This window comes from Homo sapiens, chromosome 10, assembly GCF_000001405.40.
Source record: "Homo sapiens chromosome 10, GRCh38.p14 Primary Assembly".
In the NCBI taxonomy this organism is placed as follows: domain Eukaryota; kingdom Metazoa; phylum Chordata; class Mammalia; order Primates; family Hominidae; genus Homo; species Homo sapiens.
The window spans coordinates 26,658,338-26,676,136 of NC_000010.11; the positions used below are offsets into that span (position 1 = coordinate 26,658,338).

Below are 17,799 nucleotides of genomic sequence, written 5' to 3' on the forward strand. Positions count from 1 at the left end.
GAATCACCATATGTAGCCATTTCTAATTGATTTCTTTTCCTTAATAATATGCATTTATGGTTCCTCCATGTCTCATTTTCTGTTCCTATAGCAGAATACTTGGGTAGTTTATTTTAAAAAGAGATGCTTTGGATCATGCTTCTGGAGCCTGGGAAGTCCAAAGAGCATGGTGCCAGTGTCTGGGGAAGGCCCACTGACTGCATCATATCATGGCAGATAAGCGGAAGGAGAAGTGGCTGCATGCAAAAGGGGGACAAACCAGGAGAGGCAACCTTGCTTATAACAACCCAGTCTCGTGGGAACTAATGCATTCCCATGAGAACTAACCCCGTAGCACCTGAAAGAAATTAATCCATCTTAATGACTCTTAAAGCACCTCCCACCACTGCCACCTTGGGGACCAAGCCTAAACATGAGTTTTGGAAGGGCCAATCCATAGTCAAACCACAGCACTCCATTATCTTTTCGTGGCTTGATAATTCATTTCTTCTTAACTTTTTTTTTTTGAGATGGGGTCTCACTCTTATCATCCAGGTTGGAATGCAGTGGCGTGATCTTGGCTTCATTTCTTCTTATCACTGAATAATATTCCATTGTCTGGATGGACCATAGTTCATTTATTCATTCCCCTATTGCAGGACATCTTAGTTGCCACCAAATTTTAGCAATTATGGATAAAGCTGCTGGAAACTTGTGTGCAGACACTTCTGTGAATATCAGTTTTCAACTCACTTAGGTAAATAGGAGTGCAATTGCAGGATCATATGGAAAAAGTGTGTTTAGCTGTGTAAGAAACTGACAACCTGTCTTCTAAAAAGTGGCTATTTCATTTTGCTTTCCCTCCAAGAATAAATGAGAATTCTTATTGCTCCCCATCCTTGTCATTGTTTGGTATTGTCAGTGTTTTGTATTTAAGCATTTGAATAGGTAGGTAGTGGTATCAGTTTTAATTTGCTATTTCCTAATGACATATGATGTTGAGCAATTTTTACATATGCTTATTAGCCATCTGTACATCTTCTTTGGTGAAGTGTGTGTTCAGATCTTTTGTCAATTTTTTAACTGGGTTATTCCTTTTCTTATTGTTGCTTTAAGAGTTCTTCGTATATTTTGATAACAGTACTTTATCAGATATGTCTTTCACAGATGTTTTTCCCCAGTCTGTGGCTTGTCTTCTAATTCTCTTGACTGTGCATTACACAGAAGTTTTTAATTTGAATGAGGTCCAGCTTATCAATTACTTTTTTCATGGATCATGCCATTGGCGGTGTTGTATTTAAAAAGTCATTGCCATGCCCAAGGTTATCTAGCTTTTCTCCTATATTCTAGAAATTTTATAATTTTGTGTGTTACATTTAGGTCTATGATCCATTTTCAGCTAAATTTGGGGGAAGATGTAAGATCTGTGTCTAGATTTTTGATTTTGCTTATGGATATTAAGTTGTTCCAGTGCCATTTGTTGAAAAGACTATCTTTTCCTCATTGTATTGCCTTTGCCCCTTTGTCAAATATTTGTATAGGTCTATTTTGGGATTTTCTATTCTGTTCCATTGGTCTATTCATCTATTCTTTTGCCACTACCACACTGTCTTCATTGCTGTAGCTTTCTTGCAAATCTTGAAATTGGGTAGTGTTACCCCCCTGATTTTCTTCTTTTCTAATACTGCGTTATCTGTTCTTGTTTTTTTTGTTTTTGTTTTTGTTTTTTTTTGGTTTTTGTTTTTGTTTTAGCCTCTCCATAGAAACTTTGGAATCAATTTGTCAATATCCAAGTGATATATTTCTGGGATTTTGATGGGGATTGCATTGAATCTAGAGAGAAAGTTGGGAAGAACTGACATTTTGTTAATGCTAGGCCTCCCTATCCATGGACATGGAATATCTCTCTATTTATTTAGTCCTTCTTTGATTTCTTTAATCAAAATTTTGTAGTTTTCCTCATAGATCTTTTATATATTTTGTTAGATTTATACCTAATTATTTCACTGGTGGTGGGAATGTTTACATAAATGGCATTGTGTTTTTAATTTCAAATTCCAATTGCTCACTGTTTGTGTGCAGGAGAGCAACTGCAATGGATTTTTCTATACTAATCCTGTATACGGCATCCTTGCTATAACTGCTTATTAGTTCCAGGAGTTTTTTGGTCAGTTATCCTGGTGGCCTCCTGAAGAGTCCTCCTCTAGACCCAGGGTTAAGGATGTGCATTATTTTCCTCCCCATACATAAGACTATCAAAGGTAAGGTAGGGGAAAGTGCAAGGCAACAGCTCCCTGCAGTGTTCTCCACTCCACATCCTTTCATATTGTTAAAGCAGGTGAGGAGAATTAATACTTGTGGAGCAGGTTCTCAGATATTTGCTATGAAAACCTACATATGGTGATTTAGACTTTCACAGCTATTATATCTTGAGAGTCTGATGAAACTTTAATTTTAACCTATTGTTCAATCAGTATAGTTTCTATTAGAAAAATTCATAGGAGAAAAAACAACTATTTCAATAAACATCAAAAAGGCTCTTGATAAAATTCAACACCACTCCTTGTTAAAAAAAATTTAAAACTTCATAAGAAACTAGCAATTGAGGAAGATGTTTCTATATTGATAAAAGTTATTAGAAACCTACAGCAAAAGGCATATTTAATAACAAAGCATGAATAGAAATGTCATTTATTTTTATGGTACCCAGGATTTGTTTTAATCAGTATGATAAGACACATGAACACAGAAATGAGTGTCATGAGGGAAGTACTTTATTTTGCTACTCAGGGTTCCCTAGGAGCTGTAGGCACCTCACACCACAAGAGGCAAAACAGGGAAACATCAAGGTCAGTCAGGAGGTAGAGGGGACGGGGGAAAGCACGAGCAAGACTCTTTACTGTACTTTCCACAGGAAGGAACAAGCAAGGCAGGGCAACCAGTCTTAGGATTGGCTAGTTTGAATAATTTCGTGGTATCTTGGGGAGGAGAGGCTGTCCCTAGTTGTCTGCTACCTGGCCCTGAGGCAATTAGGGCAGGCGGATAGTGGCCTGGGACATGAGAGTGATAAAGAAGGATAAAGATAGATAAAGAAGAATAGAGGGTGATAAAGAAAGGATAAAGAACGGGGTATGAGCTCTGGATTGGTTGGTTTATATATGAAGACATACATGCAGGCAAGTTGCTTACGTCCAGGAATTAGCTTATCCTGAGAGGGGCAGTCCCTCCATGGACAACAAAGCCCTGGATGTCAAAGCATCGAATTCAGAAAATAAGAGACATGACTAATACACCATTAAAGTCAATATTATCATTAATATTATTCGACATTATCCTGAAGTCTCTAGCCAATACATATAACAACAAAAAAAATAGGATGAACAACTATTTGAATGAAAAAGACAGACTTTTAAATTCTCAGATGGTGTATCTACTTAATACTTTAATAAAGTCAACCTTTAATTATAGAAACCAAAAACTGTCCTATATACTATATACCAGTGATGCTCAATTATAAAATGTAGTATAAAAAGTGATTCTAGACTACATGTCTAGAATTGATAGACAATTTCACAGTCTATACAAGGAATGATGTAAATGTTTATTGCAGATAAAAAAGAAAACATCAGGAAGGTAAGAGGTACAGGCCATCGCCCCTCTACCTAGTTCCAATAAGCATGATTGAATTAAATGACACGAGTTCCCCAACATGGTTCTAATTTCAGTTATCATGGTATTTTACCTGTAATTATATAAAGTATAAACTTCTTGTTAGTTCTTCAGTCCACAAATCACAGCCTAAATAACAGATGAATCATGATCAGTGACCCATCACTTCTTTCAAAGTATGTTGTTGCCAATCACTGCATATTTGTTACTGAGTTCATACAGAGAGCAAAGCATGTTATTGTCTTGCCTCCTTGTCTCCCAGCGAGAAGCCCACGTGACATTTTACAAAAAGGAATAATCAAAAGTGGAAATTAATCAACAGGGCTAAAACTGCAACAGAAAAAAAAGTGATAACAGTGAAATTCAAATAGAACATAAATGTAGTTACAGAAGAAATAGTGGCAATTCACCAAGGCAGATGTTTGCTCTGTATTTCAAGTATTTTTGCCAAATAAATCCTTTCTGAAACTGACTGAAGCTCTATAGTTACAGAAATACAGGGGGCAGAGAAACGTGTTGTGCTAGGCTGTTTTTCTGTTCCTATAAAAAAATATGGGAGGCTGGGTAATTCATAAAGAAAAGAGGTTTAATTGGCTGAGTTCTGCAGGCTTTACAGGGAACGTGGTGCTGGCATCTGCTCAGCTTTTGAGGAGGCCTCAGGAGGCTTCCAGACATGGCAGAAGGCATAGCAGGAGCAGGCTTCTCACATGGAGAGGGTGGGAGCAAGAGAGCAAGTGAGGGGAGGTGCCACACACTTTCAAACAACAGATCTCCTAAGAACCCAGTCTATCAGGAGGACAGCATCAAGTTATGATGAATCTGTCCCCATGACCCAAACACCTCCCACCAGGCCCCACCTCCAACATTGGGGATTACATCTCAACATGAGTACGTTAGTCCAATTTCACATTGCTGTAAAGAAACTACCTGAGACTAGGTAATTTAGAAAGGAAGGTTTAATTGACTCACAGTTATGCATGGCTGGAGAGGCCTCAGGAAACTTAGAATCATAACAGAGGGTGAAGGAGAAGCAAGGCACATCTTACATGGCAGGAGGAGAGACAGAGCAAAGGGGAAATGCCAGACCCTTATCAAACAACCAGATCTTTTGAGAACTCTCTATCACAAGAACAGCATGGGGGAATGGCCCCCATGATCCAATCACCTCCCACCAAGTCCCTCCATCCACACATGGGGGTCGAAATTCAAGATGAGATTTGGGTGGGGACATAGAGCCAAACCATATCAATGAGATTTGGAGCATACATTCAAATTATATCACAGGTTTAATAAATACCACGAAATGCAATCCGAAAAATGCAGAGTGTCAAAATACTACAGGATAAATAATCTGGTTTCTTCAATCAAAACAAAATAAACCAAAAGAGTGCAAGTGAAAAAAGATGTAGGTGACACACGTAGGTGATATACTCAAAGATATCAAAGGAAACAAGACATATTTTCATCTAATTTTAATGTATAGTCCTTATTTGGATCCCAATTAAAATAACTATAAAATAAAGAAGATGATAATAATTTACAAGACAATAGGGAAACCTTGAAAACTGACTGGATATTTAATTTTATACATTAGGAAGTTATTGCTAATTTGTCCTAAGGTCATATGGTGTCAGGGTCTGTTTGTGTTTTAAGTCATTAATATTTAGAGAGGCATACAGAAATATTTGTAGAGGAAACAATGTCTCCATTTTCCAAAACATAATTGAGGACATGTAAATTATATCTCAATTAAGGCAATAACAAGGAATATGAGGGAAGTGTGTGGAGGTGTAAATGAAGTGAAATTGGCCATGTATTGATTACTAATAAGCTGATTAAATGGTAAACCAGGTTCATTAAACTATTAAAATTTTATCTACCTTAGTAAATGTTTGAAAATTCTATAATACGGAAAAAAACTCTAGTAGCATAATAAAACTAAATACTTACTGATGTATTCCAAACTGCTGAGTTTACAGCAAATACTAGATAAATATGTAATAATCCATTTTGATAACAACTGTCATAAGATAATCAATGAAAATAACTCATGTGGTTTATCAAAAACACCTTATTGTTCCATTATAGTTACTGATTAGAACAAAAATGATCATGATGTTTCAAAGAATAAGTTCCAATTTAACTGGCTAAAAATATTTGCATATATAATCATTATTTTCAAATGTGGGATTGCCATCAAAATGTGGATGATCAGAATTTATTAAATAGATTATATTATGTTGTGCTTAATGATAGAAGAACTCCTTAATTTATTTTCCCCAAATTAAGATAAGCAACTAAGTCTGAGATCTTTAGCCCAGGAAGGAGTAGGTAAGGTGTAGCCTGCTTTCTCGGCTGCCGAATGCTTCTGGAAAGGATGCTGAAGAACTTGCTGGAGAAGATGCACCTAGTAAACAATGCGAGCAGGTAAATGTAGATTAGAATTACTCAGGACCCTGATGAATTTCTCCATTTCTAAATGGCAAGGTCAATTTAAAATGTTTAAAAATGTTTATAATTTGGGAGGCCGAGGCAGGCAGATCACTGGAGGTCAGGAGTTGGAGACCAGCCTGGCCAACATGGTGAAACCCCGTCTCAACAAAAATTACACAAATTTGCCAGACGTTGTGGCACACATCTGTACTCCCAGCTACTCGGGAAGCTGAAGCAGGAGAAACGCTTGAACCTGGGAGGCAGTGGTTTCAGTGAGCCGGGATTGTGCCACTGCACTCCAGCCTGGGTGACAGAGCTAGACTCCTTCTCAAAGAAAACAACAACAACATCAACAAAAAAAAAGTTTATACATTTTATGCTTTATGGAAAACCTCAACTCTAGTTGTTACTTGGAGTTTCTATTATTCCACAGAAAGTTCCTTAAGAGTACTTTCTAACTTTTTGTACTAAACTAAGTGAATGAAAATGTATATTTTAATCTTAATATCCCTGTACAGCATTTAGGCAATTGTAATTTTCTAAAATATTTACAGAAATAAAAGGATGTCAATGATTTAGTCTTTCCAAATGAAGGCCATGAATTCCAGCTCATGCTGCTTCTTACTGGGAATTTGGCCCCATGGTAATAAACTGAGGCACTGAAAAACACACCTGTTTCCACAATCAATCTGATATCAAAATGTATATTTTCAGTGCTTTTGCTATTTCTTGGGTATTACGAAGGAAATGCTTAGCTATCATAGAAAAGGTGGGTGATTATCTATACTAAGAAATTAAAGGTGGGAGTTCAAGTAGAACATATTATTGTGTCACTAGTATTTTAAATATGAAGATTGCATCATCATAAATACAGGGCTTTGGAGCCAATCTTAGCACTTCTCCCTGGGTACTTTCTATACACTTCTTTTTTTTAAAGTTGGCTGTATACCTATTGGTCTCACCTACCTACTAGTTTAAGAGCCCCTCTAATTAATCAGCAACTTGCATTGAATGGATTCTCAAGAAATGTTTGAGGAAAGAAGATAAATACCAGTTCCATGTGTAAAGGATTGCATGTAGAAAGGTTTGACAAAATGTTGTTCTTCTCCTGCATGAGAAGTTGACATTTAGTTACCTTTCTGGTTCTGTTTCCCTGGTATCCTGATAAGGCGGTAGGTCAACTCTATCACCATACAGCATTGCCCACAAAGGACAAGTAACTTCTGGACTGGAAGAACTGCAAATACCTGATAGGATGCGTTGGGCCTTCCTAAGCATGGTGACTCCTACCATGAGGCAGGTCTCTTGTGAGGATCTGGAAATTATGCCTATGGAGTTCTTACAAGAGACACTGCTTTCTGCAGAGCCTGAAGCTTCTAAGACAGGGCTGCCCTGCACGGTCACAGTGGGACTCTCAGATCCTTGCACCTGAGTGAAGCTGCTGTGCCTTACTGCTGGTGTGGACTGCTCCAAGTTCCCCTGCACACGGAGAACCTGGTGCTGCCCTGTCCGGAAGCTTTGTTCCTGTGCTCTGTCTCTCTCAGCTGGCTGGGGCCAGGTGTGTGGCCTGTGATAGTCGTTTGAATCTGAATGTTTACTGGACCCTAAGAAAACACCTCCACCCACCCTGCCCCAGGGGCGCTGCCTCATTACTCATATATAATTTTGAGGAAGGGATGGAAAGAAGGGGGGGAATAAAAGATATAGAAGAAAGGAGACACAGGCCAACAAAACAGCTTACTGAACACCGTGTAGTTTCCCCTGTGGAGACAAATTTATCTAATGATAAATGTTGAGGGATCTCCCTTCTCTTTGTTTCTCCTTCATATCATAAAAAGATTCTATTTAAAAATATTATGTTTTCTGAAATGAAAACCTAGAATTGTCAGGCTAATTAAACTACTGAGATAAAAAGCTAATACAAGCTCCAAATTAGAAAGAGCAAAATGGTTTCTCTCTCATGCCAACTCTGATCAGTGGCTGATGATGTCAGGGCATGCTGTGATGAGAATGGTTCTGAGGCTATGACCGGTTTGAGACAGAAAGAGGGTCATGACTATCAATAACGTACCCTCCGGGCATGGGACAGGAGAGTGGCAGCATGAGAGCCAGGGCCATTCCTGTTGTAAAAAATACATAACGTGCAATGCATTTTTAAACAGCTAATGATGAAATATTTGAGGCAGAAAACATATACAGAATAACATTATGGACACCTGTGTATCCTCCATTCAACTTCAGCAATAAAATACTTTCAATACTGTTGAAGCCATATTGTATGATATTGATAGGATTCTGCTTATTTTTATACTATATTCAAGTAGTAACACATTGTGTGAATTCCTTTGCCATTTGCTTGTTTTGCTTAACATTATAAGTGAGATTTGGCTGGGCACAGTAGCTTCGCCTGTAATCCCAGCACTTTGGGAGGCCAAGGCAGGAGGATCCCTTGAGCCTGAGAGTTCTAGACCAACCTGGGCAACATAGTGAGACTCTGTCTCTGCAATAAATAAAAACATTAGCCAGGTATGATGGTGCTCGCCTGTAGTCTCTGAGAGGCTGATGGGGGAGGATCGCTTGAGCCTGGGAGGTGGAGGCTGCAGTGAGCTATGATTATGCCACTGCCCTCCACTCTGGGTGACAGAGTGAGACCCCATGTCTAAAAATTTTCATTTTAATTGTGAGAGTCATTGATGCTAATACATGTAGCTCTAGTTTATTCGTCTTCATTGCTGTCAGGATTAAAGTGGACCCAGGTTGGTAGTACCATGGATCCATGCCTGAAAGGAGCAAATGCTACTGCCCTCTGGAGACATATACCCTCAAATTCCATTTCACTAGATTTCAAACAGAGACTAAAATCCACAATTCCAAAACACAAACAATAAACAGCAGAATCAGACCCTTGAAGGGTTAAATAATGTATATGTGTGTGTTTTAAAACAAATATTTAAAAATGTTTATAAAGCATAAATAGAAAATATGAGAAAATAATTCAACTGATAAACCAAAGAGAGACCAAGCAGGGAGAAATCTAGGAAGCTGGTGTTGGCAATGGTATAATTTAGCATGTCTGCAAACAAGCGTCTTCAAAATATAATAGATTTTTAATTAATAAAAATGAACTGAGAGAAGTCAACCATCTTAGGTCTGAGAAATCATTCCTTTCTGCTTTCTGCACTGCAGATTCTGCCATCCAGTTCCTCAGCACATACCTAGGGTTAACAGCTTAAACAAGGGGCGGGAGAGAGCACATCTGGAAACAGCAAATTAATAAATTACAAACAACAACTATAAATGAAGTCAACACAGGCCATATGAAATCACCACTATATTTGAAAACCTTTAAGAAGTTTGCTGGAAGGGTCAAAAGAGAACACGTTATCACTATCAGTCCATTTTAATTATTTATAAACAATGTACAGCATTTATTAACTTTTGGTGCAGAAAAAACCTTTTGTGAGCATTTTCATGAATGTTATGTTTTATTTTTCTTTTCTTTCATCACTAATTTGTTTTTTCTTTCATCATTTTCAGTTCAGTAAGCATTTTATAAAGCCAATGTAGTTAATTCATCTGAATTGGGCCCTGCAGCCTAAGTGGAGAGGAGGAAACAAAACAAAACAGTTGCTGCTTTTAAGGCACAGAATTAAGGTCTGACGCAGTAGAACTGCTTAATGCTGATGCTGCCTGAGAGCAAACAGGAAAGGTCTCATGCAATTAAAAACCTTTATAAATTTGTATTTTTGACAATAACCATATATTTTTTCCTATTAAAAATCTTATAAAAACGACATATTTTAAAAAATTCCAGGAATTACATCTTCATTTGAGATGAGCCTTTTGCAAGATGATTTATCAACTGGTCAGGGAGGGGAGATGCTGTCCTGAATGGTACAACAGAAATTCTGAGAGGACTGCGGACCCCAGTTACATGACTCTCATCTGAAGTTCCCATTACTTGAATGGACTACATATTCCATCTCACCTTGGTATTGAAGGTCTGCCGCCATGATACGTAATCTAAAAATGAAGTGCCCTGTGATGCAGTAATTCTACTTCTCCTGGAACATAGTCTAAGGAAACAAATGTAAACATTAAAAAGCATTATTTAAATTAAGGTAAAACTAGAAACAAATGGATACTTAATAAGTAAAACGTATACTTTCAAATAAATATTATACAGCCATTAAAAATGTTACATTATAAAGAATGAAGAGGCTGGGGGCATGGTGGCTCAGGCCTGTAATCCCAGCACTTTGGGAGGCCGAGGCGGGCGGATCGCCTGAGGTCGGGAGTTCGAGACCAGCCTGGACAGCATGGTGAAACCCTGTCGCTAACAAAAATACAAAAATTAGCCGGGCATGGTGGCAGGACCCTGTAATCCCAGCTACTCGGGAAGCTGAGGCAGGAGAATCACTTGAACCCGAGAGGCGGAGGTTGTGGTGAGCTGAGATTGCACCATTGCACTCCAGCCTGGGCAACAGAGCGAGACTCTGTCTCAAAAAAAAAAAAAAAAAAAGAATGAAGTAGCAATAAAAAACGCTTTTTTTTTTTTTTGACATGGCTTCTCACTCTGTGACTCAGGCTGGAGTGCAGTGGCACAATCTTGGCTCACTACAACCTCCTCCTCCCAGGTTCAAGCGATTCTGGTCCCTTAGCCTCCTGAGTAGCTAGGATTACAGATGTGCACCACCACGCCGGGCTAATTTTTGTATTTTTCACAGAGATGGGGTTTCACCATGTTGGCCAGGCTGGTCTCAAACTCCTGACCTCAAGTGAGCCACGGCACCTGGCTTATTTTTAGTGAAAAAATAATCTGGCCAGGCCTGGTGGCTCATGCCTATAATCTCAGCACTTTGGGAAACCAAGGCAGGAGGACTGCTTGAGCCCAGGAGTTCAAGACCAGACTGGGCAACATAGTGCGACCCCATCTCTGCAAAAAAAATTTTTTTAAGTAGCTGGGCACGGTGATGCCTGTCTATAGTCCCAGCTACTTGGGAGGCTAAGGTCGAAGGATTGCTTGAGACCAGGAGGTCAAGGCTGCAGTGAGCCATGATCATGCCACTGCATTCCAGCCCGGGAAACGGAGAGTCTCTGAAAAAAAAAAAAAAGAAAGAAAGAAAGAGAGAGAGAGAGAAAGGAAGGAAGGAAGGAAGGAAGAAAGAAGAAAAGAAAAGAAGAAGAATCTAAAAGTATACCATAGTATAATTATTATCCTACTACATTTTCCCCTAATCAATAGACACAGAAAATAGAGGTTTAAGTCTACTCAAAAGTGAATCAAAAAGTGAATAGTCATTGTGTTTGGGTGATGGGAATAAGAGGGATCTTTTAAAATTCTTTCCATGTTTGCATATTTCAAGTTAAAAAAATTCATACAGGCCAGGGGCAGTGGCTCATGCCTGTAATCCCAGCACTTTGGGAGGCCGAGGCAGGCGGATAACCTGAGGTCGAGAGTTCAAGAACAGCCTGGCCAACATGGAGAAACCCTGTCTCTACTAAAAATAAAAAAATTAGCTGGGCATGGTGGCACGAGCCTGTAATCCCAGCTCTTCAGGAGGAGACAGGAGAATTGCTTGAGCCCAGGAGGCAGAGGTTGCAGTGAGCCAAGATCGCGCCACTGCACTCCAGCCTGGGCAACAGTGTATGACTCTGTCTCAGAAAAAAAAAAAAAAAAATTCATACCAAACACCTTTAAAATAAAAATGTATACACACACAAAAATATAAAGAGTCTTCATACAAATGCATACAAATGGGTGACAGACATGCAAAGGAAACTGTGGATGGACTCAACTTAGGCAGAGAAGAACAGAGTCATCCAGTTAAAAATTGTGGCAAATTTGACAAACGCTATATAAAAACTTGGCAATAAAATACTGTTGAAATACATTAGGAATTGCAGGTGTAAGTCTAAGCACTTTGAATCAAATTGTAAAAATATAAACTACTTGGAAATCAGCACATTCTAGGTCTGTATATAAGATTCTTTGAGGCATTATCTAATTCTGTACATTTTTATCCAGTTCGAAATTTTCTGTTTGTATGTCTTTTGGCAATAAAATTTTAAGCAGTGGTTAAGGAAGACTATGTCCAAACAAAAGTTCAACCAAAGTTCCACATAATATGTTAATCACTGATGCACTAGGTCATAGGCTTTATTAATGAAAAAAAAATTTTTTTTGAGACAGAGTCTCACTCCCTCAGTCAGATTGAATTGCAATGGCATGACCTCGGCTCATTGCAACCTCCACCTCCTGGGTTCAAGAGATTCTCGTGCCTCAGCCTCCCTAGTAGCTGGGATTACAGGTGTGTGCCACCATGACCAGCTAATTTTTTTGTATTTTTAGTAGAGATGGAATTTCGGCATGTTGGCCAGGCTGGTCTCAAACTCCTGGCCTCATGTGATCCGCCTGCCTCGGCCTCCCAAAGTGCTGAAATTACAGGCATGAGCCACCTTGCCCAGTTGATCATAGGCTTTTTTTTTTTTTTTTTTTTTGAGACTGAGTCTCTCTCTCTTGCCCAGGCTGGAGTGCAGTGGCGTAATCTTGGCTCACTGCAACCTCCGCCTTCTGGGTTCAAGTGATTCTTCTGCCTCAGCCTCCTAAGTAGCTGGGACTACAGGTGCGCGCTACCAAGCTCAGCTAATTTTTGTATTTTCAGTAGATGCAGGGTTTCGCCATGTTGGTAAGGCTGGTCTCCAGCTGCTGACCTCAGGTGTCCTCCCGCCTTGGCCTCCCAAAGTGCTGGGATTACAGGCATGAGCCACTGCACCTGGCCTGATCACAGGCTTTTTAATGGTGGGAATCAAATTCATCTTTGTGGCTTTAGCTTTAACAATTTGACTATGCAAAGATACACATAATAGGGACTTGGTATGTGTTTGCTAAATAACTCAATTTAGTGCTGGGAAAAGAATTACAGCCAACCTAATTTTATTGCAGATACAGATATTTCAGGGCTTAAAAAATTCTCCTTTGCAATATGAACCCAATCACACAATGCTAGAGCTACCTAGGGTAACATACTTAAATACATGGAAATATTTCATTTTGGGACATCAGCTGTTTTCTCATAGGAGCCTGATGATCTTATTCTTTCCAAAGAAACTATAGAAATGTAGGCCAGGCACAGTGGCTCATGCCTGTAATCCCAGCACTTTGGGAGGCCAAGGCGGGCAGATCACGAGATCGGGAGTTCCAGACCAGCCTGGCCAACATGGAGAAACCCCGTCTCTACTAAAAATACAAAAAATAGCTGGGCGTGGTGATGGGTGCCTGTAATCCAAGCTACTTGGGAGGCTGAGGCAGGAGAATCATTTGAACCCACCAGGTGGAGGTTGCAGTGAGCCAAGATCCCACCATTGCACTCCAACCTGGGAAACAGGGCGAGGCTCCATCTCAAAAAAAAAAAAAGAAGAAGAAAAGGAAACGATAGAAATGACTACTTCCCTATCAATCTTTATAGTTACAGAGCTAAACACCATACAAAACATCATCTTCTTGAAATACAAAATCAACAATGCCTGTCCCGAGTATCATAGTAAATCAAATGCATTACTTCTTCTTCTTCTTTTTTTTTTGAGATGAAGTTTCACTCTTGTGGCCCAGGCTGGGTGCAATGACGTGATCTCGGCTCACTGAAACCTCCACCTCCCGGGTTCAAGCAATTCTCCTGCCTCAGCCTCCCAAGTAGCCGGGATTACAGACACCTGCCACCAAGCCCAGCTAATTTTTTTATTGTTAGTAGAGATGGGGTTTCACCATGTTGACCAGGCTGGTCTCAAACTCCTGACCTCAGCTGATCCGCCTGCCTCAGCCTCCCAAACTGCTGGGATTACAGGCGTGAGCCACCATGCCCGGCCGTGATGCATTTCTTAAATGTAGTTTTAACTATTCTGGGATGGGCACTGTGTAGCATGAAAAAGAAATGACCAATGCCTACTGGTGGTTTATGATCTTCCTTAGAGTTATTTGGAGGTGTAAGAATAATAAATATTGAGCATTTAAAAAATATTTCTAAGACCTGTAAAACACTCATCTTTGATGTTCCCATTGCTTGCAACTAGAGCATTTCTAAAAATTTTTAATAGCAAATCTTCCCCAATCTACTCCTGAGTTTTTAAAACATGTTTTGGAACTATGTAAAACATATATATAGTTTTATGTAAATAAATATAAATATGGTATATATATGTATGTTGTATGTATATAAATATATATATATATATTTTAATCTTCTGGTTTCTAAAAAACATATCCATCCCAGTGTTTGCAATATGACAAGGATATTTAATGCACTCCATAATAATACAATAGCTGGTATTTATAGAGTACTTACTATGTGCCAACCACTATCTTTTTTTATTTTTTTATTTTTTTGAGATGGAGTCTCGCTCTGTTGCCCAGGCTGGAGTGCAGTGGCACAGTCTCAGCTCACTGCAACCTCCACCTCCTGGGTTCAAGTGATTCTCCTGCCTCAACCTCCTGAGTAGCTGGGATTACAGGCGCGCACCACCACGCCCAGCTAATTTTTGTATTTTTAGTAGAGACAGGGTTTCACCACATTGGTCAGGCTTGTCTCAAACTCCTGACCTGGTGATCCACTCCCCTCAGCCTCCCAAAGTGCTGGAATTACAGGCGCGAGCCAGCCAACCACTATCTTATTGAGTCTGTGCAACAACCCATTATACATATGCACTGTATAGTATTAATGAGGGCATAAAAGTTAGGACAGGTTAAGTGGATAAAAATGTTTTAAAATTGGACTTCCGTGATTGCACAATTTCTTTAGTAAAAAAAAATTCTATACTTGAATGAACTTTATGGTGTGTAAATTATATGTCAATAAAGCTGTTAAAAATTACACACCAGAGAGAAAGAAAGAAGTGGGGCATCAAGTGACAGGCTTACTGTCATCTAGGAAATGTTTGGTCAACCAGAACTCAAGCATAGCTGGTCTAACTCTGGACCAGCACAGCTGGTTGCTCCAGAGAAAGGAGCTACACGGAAATAAAAAGATTCCATGAGGGAAACGAGGATCAGACTTTACTCAGCTGTCTCCTGCTTAGATGTTTATTTCTTCATGTCTGTATAATTCTTTAACTCCACATCCCGGCTATACATTGTTACATAAACATGTGCAATCAATATTTTATATATTTCCATTTACAGATCAATTAAATATATAAGAATATATGGAAGTGTACGTTTAAAAAGTAAATGAACTATCATTATAAACTCTTATTATACCATTGTTCTTCATGGAAATTGATTTCTTCCCTTCTTTGAGAGCACATAGTTTAGCATTTACTATTTCTCTAAAATCACAGAAGCAAAGCTGCAGCCATGAACCCACTTCATTTCTTTCATTTTGCCATTTCATCCAATCTATCCTAACCAAGTAAATCCAAATACTAAGGACTGCCACCACATGGCATTTAAAAATATTTTAGACTTCTTTCTCTCAGCTGCTGGGACTATTCACATTCTGAGCTGGCCTGGAAGTTCTGTATGATTGCCCAAACGGGCATAAATGGCTGGCAAGGAAATGAACGCCAAAGAGCTCACCCACTTCACTGTAAGAACTAAACTTGCTTTTATGTCTACAATAATGTCCCGAGTTCAAGAAGCAATTTCATTCCCTAACCTAATGTGGAATGTTAGTGTCATCCTTCTTTCATGGACAGAAACCAGCCACCCCGATACACACACATACTCTCTATACAAGTCCTAAGGCAGAAGCACTCAAAGGCTCAGATCCTTCTGCCTTAACTTCTTTGATCTTGCTAGAACCTGAACTGCAAAAAGAATTACCTTCCTTTTTTGTTGTTTTTGTTTGTTTGTTTCTTTGTTTGGAGACAGGGTCTCACTCTGTCGCCCACACTGGAGTGCACTGGCACAATCATGGTTCACTGCAGCCTCGACCTCCCAGGCCCAAGTGATCTTCCCACCTCAGCCTCCCGAGTAGCTGGAACTACAGGCACGTGACACGACTCCCAACTAATTTTTAAATTTTTTATAGAGAGAGGCATCCCCCATGTTGCCCAGGCTAGTCTTGAACCCCTGCGCTCAAGCAATCCTCCCGCCTCAGGCTCCAAATTGCTGGGATTATAGGCATGAGCCACCACGCCCAGCCCTGTTTTTTCCCTTCTCCAAGCCAAGTGTGAAGTCAACACAGTAAACTGAAAATTAAGGCTAGGTATAGTGGCTCACACTCGCAATCCCAACATTTTGGAGATGGAAGTAGAAGAACGGCTTGAGCTTAGGAATTCGAGGCCAGCCTGGGCAACATAGTGAGACCTCATCTCTACTAAAAGTACAAAAAAATTAGCCAGGCATAGTGGCACATGCCTGTAGTCCCAGCTACTCAAGAGGCTGAGATGAGAGGATCACTTGGGCCTGGGAGGTCAAGGCCCTCCCAGTGAAGTGATTTCACCACTGCACTCCAACCTGGAAAACAGAGTGAAACTCTCTCAAAAAACAAAAAAAAAAAAAAAAAGGAAAAGAAAATCAATACATAGAAGTGATTGATTTTTACAGCTTTAATTTACTGTATGAGTATTACGGCCCAGTGATTGATTTCTACAGCTCTAATTTACTGTATGAGCATTATGGCCCAGGCTATAACAAGATGCTTTGTACATACATTGCTCACATTATAAGATCCTTGCAAGGCCGGGCGCAGTGGCTCATGCCTGTAATCCCAGCAATTTGGGAGGCCGAGGCGGGCAGATCACCTGAGGTCAGCAGTTTGAGACCAGCCTAGCCAACATGGTGAAACCCCATCTCTAATAATAATACAAAAATTAGACAGGCTTGGTGGCAAGCGCCTGTAATCCCAGCTACTCAGGAAGCTGAGGCAGGAGAATCGATTGAGCCCGGGAGGCGGAGTTTGCAGTGAGCCAACATCCCGCCATTGCACTCCAGGCTGGGTGACAAGAGCGAAACTCTGTCTCAAAAAAATATATAAATAAATAAGATGCTTGCAAAACATCCCCATTTTACTACAGCGAAGCACTTGAAGATTCAGAGAGTTAAATATCTTTCAGATCATACAGCTAAAAACTGGCAGAGGTGAGATTTTCCGCCAGATTCCAAAACCCATGTTCTTTCCACCATATGCCACACCACCTTCCTTCTCGGTCCACCATCTTTTAAGTTAATAGTATTTTAACATTACTATGCAAATTTACTGAAAGCAGAGTAGTCATACTCCAAGCTTAAAGCCATTGGCTAAAATTAGAAAGTTTAACTCAACTAAAATATACCCACCTAGAAAATCCTAGTTAAGGCCGGGCGCGGTGGCGGGTGCCTGTAGTCACGGCTACTCCAGAGGCTGAAGCAGGAGAATGCCGTGAACACGGGAGGCGGAGCTTGCAGTGAGCCAAGAACACGTCACTGCACTCCAGCCTGGGCGACAGAGCAAGACTCCGTCTCAAGAAAGAAAGAGAGAGAGAGAGAGAAAGAAGGGAAGGAGGGAGGGAGGAAGGGAAGGAAGGAAGGAGGGAGGGAGGGAGGGAAGGAAGGAAGGAAGGAAGGAAGGAAGGAAGGAAGGAAGGAAGGAAGGAAGGAAAATCCTAGTTTAAAACAAAGCAACTCAGCCTCAAAACCATAAGTCATCGCTTTTGGTTTTCAAAAACCATTGCTTTTATGTGATAATCCTTAAAGTTGAGAACATCAAAAGGATTACTTACTTGTCATTCTTTTTCTTCCTT

The 17,799-nt window shown here is 39.9% G+C and overlaps 1 pseudogene across 1 annotated transcript; it reads right to left on the reverse strand.

Moving 5' to 3' along the window:
- Positions 1 to 4,586: 4,586 nt before the first annotated feature.
- Positions 4,587 to 17,438, reverse strand: SELENOOLP (selenoprotein O like, pseudogene; annotated as a pseudogene). Its single transcript, XR_930765.3, has 3 exons — positions 17,357 to 17,438; positions 10,070 to 10,157; positions 4,587 to 6,055 (listed from the first exon to the last, which is right to left on the reverse strand). The product of XR_930765.3 is annotated as a selenoprotein O like, pseudogene, transcript variant X1 (transcript).
- Between the last annotated feature and the right edge of the window lie 361 nt (positions 17,439 to 17,799).